This window comes from Homo sapiens, chromosome 22 (assembly GCF_000001405.40).
Source record: "Homo sapiens chromosome 22, GRCh38.p14 Primary Assembly".
Taxonomy (NCBI): Eukaryota; Metazoa; Chordata; class Mammalia; order Primates; family Hominidae; genus Homo; species Homo sapiens.
Genome location: NC_000022.11, coordinates 39,210,210 through 39,222,323, shown reverse-complemented (window position 1 = coordinate 39,222,323; position 12,114 = coordinate 39,210,210). Strand labels below are relative to the sequence as shown.

At 48.0% G+C, this 12,114-nt stretch overlaps 4 annotated features.

Annotated features, from left to right (window-relative positions):
- Positions 5,547 to 6,164: an enhancer, noted in NCBI's record as "H3K27ac-H3K4me1 hESC enhancer chr22:39612165-39612782 (GRCh37/hg19 assembly coordinates)". NCBI's record gives its function as "activates a minimal SCP1, AML or CMV promoter by ChIP-STARR-seq in naive H9 embryonic stem cells {active_cell/tissue: H9 hESC(naive)}" and the evidence as "EXISTENCE:reporter gene assay evidence [ECO:0000049][PMID:30033119]".
- Positions 6,808 to 8,007: an enhancer, noted in NCBI's record as "MED14-independent group 3 enhancer chr22:39610322-39611521 (GRCh37/hg19 assembly coordinates)". NCBI's record gives its function as "activates an origin of replication core promoter dependent on BRD2, BRD4, P300/CBP and CDK7 cofactors, and independent of MED14, by STARR-seq in HCT116 cells {active_cell/tissue: HCT116}" and the evidence as "EXISTENCE:reporter gene assay evidence [ECO:0000049][PMID:35650434]".
- Positions 8,024 to 8,642: an enhancer, noted in NCBI's record as "NANOG-H3K27ac-H3K4me1 hESC enhancer chr22:39609687-39610305 (GRCh37/hg19 assembly coordinates)". NCBI's record gives its function as "activates a minimal SCP1, AML or CMV promoter by ChIP-STARR-seq in primed H9 embryonic stem cells {active_cell/tissue: H9 hESC(primed)}" and the evidence as "EXISTENCE:reporter gene assay evidence [ECO:0000049][PMID:30033119]".
- Positions 8,643 to 9,262: an enhancer, noted in NCBI's record as "H3K27ac-H3K4me1 hESC enhancer chr22:39609067-39609686 (GRCh37/hg19 assembly coordinates)". NCBI's record gives its function as "activates a minimal SCP1, AML or CMV promoter by ChIP-STARR-seq in primed H9 embryonic stem cells {active_cell/tissue: H9 hESC(primed)}" and the evidence as "EXISTENCE:reporter gene assay evidence [ECO:0000049][PMID:30033119]".

Sequence of the window (12,114 nt, the reverse complement as noted above, 5' to 3'; positions counted from 1 at the left end):
GCCAGGCTAAAATGGCATTCTTCCAGAAACCCCTTTGCTGGAGAGAAAGCATTCTTTTCTTCATGCCTTTCCACTGCACTGTTGGCTGTAATACAGATGTGATGTCTGGTGCTCAAGCAGCCATGTTGAGCCATGAGGTGAAAGCCACATGCTGAGGATTATGGAGCAAGATGGAAGGCAGGGTCCCCAATACCTGGGCTGCCTTGTTCAGGAGCTTTCACGGAAGAAAGAAACTTCTTTCTGTTTGAGCTACTCTGGTTTTGGGTTTTCTGTCCCTTGCAACTGAACCTAATCCTAATAGCCCCGTTTACTTTGGGAGAGAGAGAACATGGCTGCTGGGCTGGTCCTTTTCTCTCCTACCCTCCTCAGGCACTCAGCTTCACCTTGCGAACTCTTAGGAACTCTCCTCTGTTCACTCAGATCCTCATTTCCCCAAGGTGTCTTCTTGGTCCCGGCCCTCAGCCTTCAACCAGAGCGTGGAGCTGTAGCTTTCTTTGGACAGCAATTTTTGCTTTTGTAAAATAATAAAATGTGAAACATTTACTGCTACTAAAGTAAACTATCCGTGAGCTCCTAGTACACATAAGACCGTTTTTGAGGGATGAAGGAGATAACAGACAGGACAGGGACAGCACGCAGGCTTAGGGAGGGCACGCAGGCTTAGGGAGAGCATGCAGCTGCTGGTGGCTAGGTCCAAGCTCCACCCTTTCCTCCTCTGCTGACACCATGTCTGGTGTGTTTCCAGTATTTTAAAGTGTCAGCTCAGGAACCCCAGAACCCCAACACCTGTCCATGTACTTGGGTGACAGCCTTGACCCGGCCACATTGTTACTGATGATCCTGGGGAAGTCCCTGCTTCTCCCCAATCTCAGAGGAGCTGTGACTCACCCCTATGCTGCCTTCAGGCATCCATGCAAGTGACACCCATCCTGTCCCACCTGCCCCTGCCCCAAGCCCCCCTTTCTCACTCTGCTCTGTTGATCTCTGTAGCATCTGGCCTCATCTGGCTCACTCCACGTGTATATCTCTCCTCATCTCCCTTCTCCACTCCCCATGGAAACTCCACCTGGAGTTACCTTGTTCACTACTCTGTCCTCAGAGCCTAGAACAGTGCCTCGTACCTAGTAGGCACTCGACCAGCCTGTCAAATGAAGCAACATACAAATCTGTTATTGGAGCAATCAAGTATGTTGGCTCCAAGTCACAGCCTGCCTGGCTGGTCTTCATCACACACACTATGGTGTGGCTGGAAAATGCAAGACTCTGAGTGTGTCACTACAGATAAAATATTTCAACTTCTTGGCAAGCTCCACACTTAGCACACCCTCTTCCTTGATTGGGAAATCCTGGAGGGTTGGGATCATGTTTAATTCACCTTCTAAGTCTATCTAGCCATTGTCTCTCTCCATGTCTATACTTCTTCATCTACCCACCTGTCCATTCACCTACCCGCCCACCCACCCATCTGCGTATTTATCCATCCATCCATCCATCCATCCATCCATCCATCCATCCACCTGTCCATCCATCCACCCATCCACCCGCCCATCCACCCACCCATCTACCTATCCGTCCGTCCAACCATCCGTCTACCTGCCTACCTGTCCATCCATCCATCCGTCTACCTGTCCACCTGTCCATCCATCCATCCGTCCATCCATCCGTGCATCCATCCATCCATCCATCCATCTACCTGTCCATCCATCCATCCATCTGTCCATCCCTCTGTCCGTCTACCTGTCCACCTGTCCATCCATCCATCCATCCACCTGTCCACCTGCCCATCCATCCATCCATCCATCCATCCACCTGTCCATCCATCCATCCATCTATCCATCCATCCATCCATCCATCCATCCATCCATCTACCTGTCCATCCATCCATCCATCCGTCCATCCATCTGTCCATCCACCTGTCCATCCATCCATCCATCCATCCATCCATCCATCTACCTGTCCATCCATCCATCCATCCATCCATCCATCCATCCATCCTCTTTCTTCCTCCCTTTTCTATTTTTCACCCTCACTTACTCCCAGGCTCTGTTGTTGTCACCTTGTTCTATTACCTCTGAGGAGGTTGGTGCCACAGAGGAGACAACACATCAGACCCCCATTGCTCACTCCTTCTGTGTGACCTTACGGAACTGTTGCACAGGTTAGAGACATGAGGATTGAGCACTGCCCCTGGCACATATTTGGCCTTTGGTCAATGGTAGGAGTTGTCATCTTTTTCCTCTCAGCATCCTGAAACTGGCTGATCACAGCATGGTGGACTAAAGATGGAAACAATGGAAAGAATGAACACAAAATCACAGAGGATTAAGAGCTCAGCTGCAGTCAGTGTGTGCATGCATACTCAGGCACCGTCCCGTTATTCTGCTCAATTAAGTTGATGATACTTGTCATGTGGGGCAAGTGAGCCCCAGATTGGGGCTTACCCCAGGAAGGTTCTTGGCTTTGCTCAGGAAAGAATCCAAGAGTGAGCTGATAGGGGAAGAAAACATCTCTATTGAAGTGGAAGTGTTAACAGTTCTGAGACTGCTCCTGCAGAGCAGGGCTACTCCAAGGTCAGTATGCTGAGGGTAGCAGCTCAGGAGCAATTATGCAGTCATATTTATACCCACTTAATTATATGCAAATTACGGGGAAAATTATGCAGAAATTTCTAGATAAAGGGCAGTAACTTCCGGGTCATGGGTCGTTGCCATGGAAAGAGGCATTAATGTCTGGATGTTGCCATGGCAATGGTAAAGTGACAAGGCACACTGATGGGTGTGTCTTATGGAAAGGTGCTTTTGCCTCTTCCTTGTTTTAGCTAGTCCTCAATCTGGTCCAGTGTCGAGTCTTGCCTCCTGCCTCACTTCCAGTCCTCCTGTTACAGATGAAGAAACAAGGGAAACAAGGGCTCAGCAAGGTTCACCCCCACCACCGGCTTCCCGTTACACAGTTATTTCTCCTGTAAATGTGGTAAACGACCAAGTCCACAGTCCCCCTGTGGGGAGATTCACGGCGCAGACTCCAGGTGTAACGTCAGGTCTTCCTTCATTGAGGGAGGTCTGGGTTTGCAAACTAACTCGGGTCTGGGACTGGGGGAGGGAATGCGTGCCTCTGTCCGGGGGACAGTGGGGGAGGGGGTCTCAAGTCGGACCCCTGTTTACCAAACCCAGGCCTTTCTGGTTGTAAAAGCCACAGGTCCTTGTAGGGTCCCATCCATTTTTGCCCTTGGGAACTTGTGATCCATTAGATCCACGAATCCCTTAGATCCACGAATCCCTTAGATCCACGAATCCCTGTTGGTCAGTCTGTTGGGACAGCGACCTGGTCCTGTGCCTGTTTTTTCTTTTTAAATTATTATTATTTTTTTTATTACACTTTAAGTTCTAGGGTACATGTGCACAACGTGCAGGTTTGTTACATAGGTACACATGTGCCATGTTGGTTTGCTGCACCCATCAACTCATCATTTACATTATGTATTTCTCCTAATGCTATCCCTCCCTCAGCCCCCAACCCCACGGCAGGTCCTGGTGAGTGATGTTCCCCACCCTGTGTCAAAGTGTTCTCATTGTTCAATTCCCACCTATGAGTGAGAACATGCGGTGTTTGGTTTTCTGTCCTTGTGATAGTTTGCTGAGAATGACGGTTTCCAGCTTCATCCATGTCCCTGCAAAGGACATGAACTCATCCTTTTTTATGGCTGCATAGTATTCCATAGTATATATGTGCCACATTTTCTTAACCAGTCTAACATTGATGGACATTTGGGTTGGTTCCAAGTCTTTGCTATTGTGAATAGTGCCACAATAAACGTACGTGTGCACGTGTCTTTATAGTAGCATGATTTATAATCCTTTGGGTATATACCAGTAATGGGATCACTGGGTAAAATGGTATTTCTAGTTTTGGATCCTTGAGGAATTGCCACACAGTCTTCCACAATGGTTGAACTAATTTACACTCCCACCAACCATGTAAAAGTGTTCCTATTTCTCCACATCCTCTCCAGCATCTGTTGTTTCCTGACTTTTTAATGATCACCATTCTAACTGGTGTGAGATGGTATCTCATTGTGATTTTGATTTGCAATTCTCTGATGACCAGTGATGATGAGCATTTTTTCATGTATCTGTGGGCTGTATAAATGTCTTCTTTGGAGAAGTGTGTGTTCATATCCTTTACCCATTTTTTGATGGAGTTGTTTGTTTTTTTTTCCTGTAAATTTGCTTAAGTTCTTTGTAGATTCTGGATATTAGCCCTTTGTCAGATGGGTAGATTGCAAAAATTTTTTCCCATTCTGTAGTTTGCCTGTTCACTCTGATGGTAGTTTCTTTTGCTGTGCAGAAGCTCTTTAGTTTAATTAGATCCCATTTGTCTATTTTGGCTTTTGTTGCCGTTGCTTTTGGTGTTTTAGTCGTGAAGTCCTTGCCCATGCTTATGTCCTGAATGGTATTGCCTAGGTTTTCTTCTAGGGTTTTTAATGGTTTTAGGTTTAACATTTAAGACTATAATCCACCTTGAATTAATTTTTGTAAAAGGTGTAAGGAAGGGATCCAGTTTCAGCTTTCTACATATGGCTAGCCAGTTTTCCCAGCACCATTTATTAAATAGGGAATCCTTCCCCCTTTTCTTGTTTTTGTCAGGTTTGTCAAAGATCAGATGGTTGTAGATGTGTGGTGTTATTTCTGAGGCCTCTGTTCTGTTCCATTGGTCTATATCTCTGTTTTGGTACCAGTACCATGCTGTTTTGATTACTGTAGCCTTGTAGTATAGTTTGAAGTCAGGTAGCATGATGCCTCCAGCTTTGTTCTTTTGGCTTAGGATTGTCTTGGCAATGTGGGCTCTTTTTTGGTTCCATATGAACTTTAAAGTAGTTTTTTCCAATACTGTGAAGAAAGTCATTTGTAGCTTGATGGAGATGACACTGAATCTATAAATTACCTTGGGCAGTATGGCCATTTTCACGATAATGATTCTTCCTATCCATGAGCATGGAATGTTCTTCCATTTGTTTGTGTCCTCTTTTATTTCGTTGAGCAGTGGTTTCTAGTTCTCCTTGAAGATGTCCTTCACATCCCTTGTAAGTTGGATTCCTAGGGAATTGTGAATGGGAGTTCACTCATGATTTGGCTCTCTGTTTGTCTGTTATTAGTATATAGGAATGCTTGTGATTTTTGCACATTGATTTTGTATCCTGAGACTTTGCTGAAGTTGCTTATCAGCTTAAGGAGATTTTGGGCTAAGACAATGGGGTTTTCTAAATATACAATTATGTCATCTGCAAACAGGGACAATTTGACTTCCTCTTTTCCTAGTTGAATACCCTTTATTTCTTTCTCTTGCCTGATTGCCCTGGCCAGAACTTTCAACACTATGTTGAATAGGAGTGGTGAGAGAGGGCATCCCTGTCTCGTGCCAGTTTTCAAAGGGAATGCTTCCAGTTTTTGCCCATTCAGTATGATATTGGCTGTGGGTTTGTCATAAATAGCTCTTACTATTTATTATTCATATTCTTATTATTTATATTTCACTAATCCCTGTTGGTCAGGCTGTTGGGACAGTGACCTGGTCCTGTGCCTGTTTTTATTTTTTTTATTTTTTTTATTTTTTATTTTTTAGACAGAGTTCCGTTCTTGTCACCCAGACTGGAGTGCAATGGTGCAATCTCAGCTCACTGCAACTTCTACCTCCTCGGTTCAAGCAATTCTCCTGTCTCAGCCTCCCAAAGTAGCTGGCGCCTGCCACCATGCCCAGCTAATTTTTTGTATGTTTAGTTGAGACAGGGTGTCACCATGTTGGTCAGGCTAGTCTCGAACTCCTAACCTCAGGTGATCACCCTCCTCGGGCTCCCAAAGTGCTAGGATTAAAGGCGTGTGCCACAGCACCCGGCCCTGTGCCTGTGACAGTGATGCACCCCCACCACCCCTGGCAGTCACTGCTGCCTCGGGCTTCTGTCATCTCAGGTCTTGGTTTCCACTCCAGAAATCCAGAGGCAGGCCACTGGCCAGACACCTTCCCTGGACACTAACACATTCCGAAGGGTGTTGGGCCCTCTGCAAGGTGGCTCGCCGTGTGGGTGTAGGGCCGGTACTTTGGGTCCTTGGGCATTGTGGTAAAGGGTCATCCATGCTCAGTCCATTCCTCTGGCTCTGTCATGCCTTGGTGTCTCTGTCATCTCCAGGTTGGGGGGGGGGGGGGCAACCTCTGCGTTGGCCTTCACCTCACCTGCCAGCCGACAAAGCAGTGGTAGAAACAATCAGGGCCGCCCCCCGCTGATGAAGTTGGCACCTTGGATGCAGGGCCCCCTGTTGGTGGAGCAGCATGGATACATTCAGCCCCATCCAAAGCTGCATTCGCTCCTCCTTGACGTATGTCCTCAGAACCCACTCACACATCTCCCCCAGATGTCTGATGATAGGAAATGACATTCTACACAGGTTTTGGTTTGAGATTGCTATTTAATCTCGCCCCTCAGGGCCTCCTGCCACCTGACTCCAGCTGAAGACTCTGAGGATGGGGGCCACATGAGGGTGATTACAGGGTCCCTTCTTCGGCAGGACCAGCCGCATCAGACAGCGAAGAGGAGCTGCTCAGCTGGCAAGGGGACTTGGCGGGGAGTGAGGGTTCAGGGTGTTCCAATCAGCCAGAATCCTCCTTAGAGCTGGTGAGGCCATGGCATCGCTCATGATGTAATTCACCATTCTGTAGGCTCGAATTTTGAGTTTCATTTTTGGCTGTCTCAGTCTTACCACAGTGAGAATTAGGAAACATTTTTACTGCAGTTATAGAAGTCCTTCGTTTTCTTTCTTCCCTTATTTTTTATTTTTTAGTTTTTTTGTTTTTAAGACAGGTTCTTGCTCTGTCACTCAGGCTGGAGTGCAGTGGTGTGATCAAAGCTCACTGCAGTCTCGATTTCCCCGACTCAAGCCATTCTCCCGCCTCAGCCTCCCAAGTAGCTAGGACTACAGGTGCACACACCATGCCTGGCTGATATATATATTTTTAAACTTTTTAGTAGAAAAAAGTAAAAACAGGGTCTTTACTTAGTAGAGATGGGGGTCTCACTATGTTGCCCAGGTTGGTCTCGAACTCCTGAGCAAAAGTGATCCTCCTGCCTCGGCCTCGCAAAGTACCGGGATTACAGGCATGAGGTACTGCACCTGGCCCAGAAGTCCTCAGTTTTTGATCTGGGTCTTGAGCCAAGAATTTAGGAATTTAGGAGACGGGCTTCTGCATCTTTAACAGTGCAGTGCTGTAGAGCCCATTCAGTCTAATTCCTCATTCCTTTCATTCTTTTCTAAGGCAATGAATTCTCAATGAAGCTTTGTTTTCAACGGGCTCTTCCTTCCCGGTGACTCCAGGTGGCAAATCTGACATTCTGCTTCCCCTGCATGCCATGGCTTCCAGATCTGAGCCCTTATGATGTGCTGAATTTTTACTGACTTCAGCCCCAAGCAGTCCAGATAACCAATTCCAGCTTCTCCGAGCTTCCTCCAACATCCACTGCCTGTAACCACTCCTGACACCAACTTCTATATAAGGCAAGGTTCTTAGTTGCAGGTAACATAAACCAGCTCCGGTTAACTTATAAAGAAACGGATGTTCAAAGAATGGATATTGAAAAGGATATTCAAAGAATTCCAGGTGACTCATGCATTGCTGAGCAGGCTTGGAGACCTGGTTTTGTGGTATGCAAACAGGATCAGTCCTCTCCAATGCAGCCTGAGGTCAGTGCTCTGAACACCTGTTTGACACTGCAGCCCCTGTGACTGGCACCTTCCAACTGAATACCCAGCACTGGGCACTGTGGCTCCACGGCTCAGCCAGGGAGACGCTCTGCTTCTTTGCAGCACTAATTTTGTTGTTCAGTCTTGAGTTGGTGTGCCTGACTGGTGAGCCTCACAGACTTCAGCTGTGTCTGAGAAAGGGCGTAGTGGGGATTTTTAGTTTCTAGGCGGGCGGGCGGGGGGTGGTCCCTGGGTCCACAGCCTACAAGGTGCGGTTCAGACGGTGTGTGGTCAAAACAACGAAACGTAAGTGGAATGTCTGTTTCATTCTGTACCACGTTTCTTCCATTTCTTCCAGCTGAGCACAGGATGAGGCTGCCTGCCCAGATAGCTGTCCCTTCTGACTTAGGATCTCTTTGGCTGTACATTGAAGGATGAAGAAGTGTGTAGCTGTTTTACCTATGACTGGATTCCCAGATCCTAGCTCAGCTGCGGACACACCATGGGCACTCACTTCATGTTGTTAGGTGATGGAACATGTCTTGTGGGGACAGGACTAAGGGTGAGACACCTGCCCCAGGTGCAAAGGTTAAAGGGGCACCAAAAATTCTCAGTGATCAAAATAAGTCATCATTTCATGCAATATGTATATATTTTTTGAGGCAGAGTCGTGCTCTGTCACCCAAGCTGGAGTGCAGTAGCGTGATCTCAGCTCACTGCAACCTTCGCCTCCTGGGTTCAAGTGATTCTTGTGCTTCAGCTGCCTGCGTAGCTGGGACCACAGGCACATGCCACCACACCTGGCTAATTTTTGTATTTTTAGGACAGACAGGGTTTTGCCATGTTGGCCAGGCTGGTCTCAAACTCCTGACCTCAATGATCTGCCTGCTTCAGCCCCCTGAAGTGCTGGAATTACAGGCGTGAGCCACCACGCTCAGCCTCATGCAGTATTTTAAGAAATCAAAATTAATGCAAACAAGTTCACCACGAGCCAGTCCGGGAGTGGTGGCTCATGCCTGTAATCCCAGCACTTTGGGAGGCCGAGGTGGGCAGATACTTGAGGTCAGGAATTTGAGACCAGTCTGGCCAACATGGTGAAACCCCGTCTCTACTAAAAACACAAAAATTAGCCAGACATGGTGGCGGGCGCTTGTAATCCCAGCTACTTGAGAGGCTGAGGCAGGAGAATCGCTTGAACCTGGGAGGCGGAGGTTGTAGTGAGCTAAGATTGCACCACTGCACTCAAGCCTGGGTGAGCGAGACTCCAACTCAAAAAAAAAAAAAAAAAAAAAAAAAAGAAAGAAAGAAAAAAAATTTACCATGAGCCAAAATTTCAAAATTTCACTTCAAGACAGGAGTTGAAACGAGCACTTACACAATGCCTCGCTCGCCTCACTCTAATCTTGGCTTTGTCAGATCCTGTCTTGTTTTAAAATGTTGTGCTCCGGGTGTGTGCCTGGCTTGCCTCACCGCAGCCCGGGCCCTGCTGACCCAGCTCCATGTTCACTGTCCTTTCTTCTTCCTTCTGTGGCCTTGGTTTTGGGTCCTCACTCTCTTTTGACCCAACCATTGAGAAACTCCTCTGGGGTTCCTTCTCCTCACCCCGGACTATCCCACCATGAGCCACGTCACTCTCTGCTGCCCCCTTAGGCTTCTTGACACAGAGTAGTCAAGCCACTCCCTTGCTCATAACCTTCTATGACTTCTGACCCCAGGCGAGGCTCACACTCACCAACAAGGCATGCAGAACCCTCTGTGGTCAGCCCAGGGAGGCTTCTTCCTCCCAAGCCTCCCCGCCTGTCACCTGCCCTCCTCCTCCATATCCAGGCCGTGCCTTTCTCCACATCTGTACTTCACTGACTATCTTCAAAGTCAACCTCAAATTCACTAGAAAACCGCCCCTGGAGGAATGTAAAATGGTATAGCCACTGTGGAAAACAGCAGGGTGGTTCCCCAGAAACATTCACACAGAATTACGATATGACCCAGCAATCCCACTTCTGGGTAGATACCCCAAAGAACTTAAAACAGGGTCTCGAAGAAATATTTGCACACCCAGGTTCACAGTGGAATGATTCACAATAGCCAAAAGGTGGAAGCATGGCCGGGCACGGTGGTTCACGCCTGTGCTCCCAGCACTTTGGGAGGTTGAGGCAGGCGGATCACCTGAGGTCAGGAGTTCGAGAGTTGGCCAGCCAACTCTCTGTTGTTCAGCCTGGCCAACAGAGTGAAACCCTGTCTCCACTAAAAATACAAAAATTAGCCGGGCGTGGTGGCGGCCACCTGTAATTCCAGCTACTCGACAGGCTGAGGCAGGAGAACCACTTGAACTTGGGAGGTGGAGGTTGCAGCGAGCCAAGATCGCGCCACTGCACTCCAGCCTGGGTGACAGAGCGATATTCCATTTTGGTATTGCTAGAAAGAAATACCAGAGGCTGGGCAATTTATAAAGATGAGGTTTCATTGGCTCACAGTTCTGCAGGCTGTACCAGCATGGCGCCAGTGTCTGCTCCTGGTGAGGCCTTACGGACGTTACAATAACGGCGGAAGGCAAAGGCGGAGCAGGCATGTCGCATGGTGAGAGCAGAAGCACGAGAGAGTGGGGGGCAGGGGTGCCACAGACTTTTTTTTTTTTTTTTTTTTTTTTGAGACGGAGTCTCGCTCTGTCGCCCAGGCCGGACTGCGGACTGCAGTGGCGCAATCTTGGCTCACTGCAAGCTCCGCTTCCCGGGTTCACGCCATTCTCCTGCCTCAGCCTCCCGAGTAGCTGGGACTACAGGCGCCCGCCACCGCGCCCGGCTAATTTTTTGTATTTTTAGTAGAGACGGGTTTCACCTTGTTAGCCAGGATGGTCTCGATCTCCTGACCTCGTGATCCACCCGCCTCGGCCTCCCAAAGTGCTGGGATTACAGGCGTGAGCCACCGCGCCCGGCCGCCACAGACTTTTTTAAAATTTTTTTTTCTTTTGAGAAGGAGGCTTGCTCTGTTGCCCAGTCTTGCTGTGTCGCCCAGGCTGGAGTGCAGTGGCGCGATCTCGGCTCACTGTAATCTCCACCTCCTGGGTTCACACCATTCTCCTGCCTCAGCCTCCCTAGTAGCTGGGACTACAGGCGCCTGCCACTGTGTCCGGCTACTTTCTTGTGTATTTTTAGTAGAGACAGGGTTTCACCATGTTGGCCAGGCAGGTCTCGAACTCCTGACCTCAAGTGATCCGCCTGCCTCGGCCTCCCAAAGTGCTGGGATTAAAGGCATGAGCCACCACACCCAGCCTACATTTCCACATGATTTTAGAGGGAACAAACATCCAAACTATATCAACGTACAATGGAATATTATTTAACCTTCAAAAGGAAGGAAATCCTGGGATATGCTGCAACATGGAAGAACCTTAAGGACATTCTGCTAAGTGAAAGAAGCCATTCACAAAAGTGCCAGTGCTGTATGATTCCATCATATGATATAATTAGATTAGTCAAAATTATAGAGACAAAAAGTAGAATGGTGGTTGCCAGAGGCTGGGAGGGGGGATTGCGGAGTTAGCGTTTAATGGATACAGAGTTTCAGTTTTACAAAATGAAAATAGTTCTGGAGACAATGGGGGCGATGGTCACGCAACATTATGAATGTACTTAATACTACGAACTGTACACTTAAAACAGTTACAATGGCACATTTTTTTTTTTTTTTAGACAGAGTCTCCCTCTGTCGCCCAGGCTGGAGTGCAGTGGCCCAATCTCGACTCACTGTAACCTCCATCTCCCGGGTTCAAGCAATATTTCTGCCTCAGCCTCCCGAGTAGCTGGGACTACAGGCACACGCCACCACCCGTCTAATTTTTGTATTTTTCATAGAGACAAGGTTTCACCATATTGGCTAGGCTGGTCTCGAACTCCTGACCTTGTGATCTGCCTGCCTCAGCCTCCCAAAGTGCTGGGATTACAGGCATGAGTCACTGCACCTGGCTTACAATGGTAAATTTTTTGTTATGTGTATTTTAACACAGTAAGTGCAGGCGCAGTGGCTCACGTCTGTAATCCCTGCATTTTGGGAGGCCGAGGCAGGCAGATCACTTGAGTTCAGGAGTTCAAGACCAGCCAGGGAAACGTGGCGAAACCCTGTCTCTACTAAAAATACAAAAATGAGCCGGGCATGGTGGTGGGCACCTGTAGTCCCAGCTACTCGGGAGGCTGAGGCAGGAGAACTGCTTGAACCTGGAAGGTGGAGGTTGCAGTGAGCCGAGATCATGTCACTGCACTCCAGCCTGGGCAATAGAGTGAGACGCTATCTCAAACAAACAAACAAACAAAAATACAATAAAAAGTTGGGGAAAGAAATAAGAAAAAAAAAAACCTGCTCCTGCAGCTCTCTGGCCAGAAGTGAGGTTTTT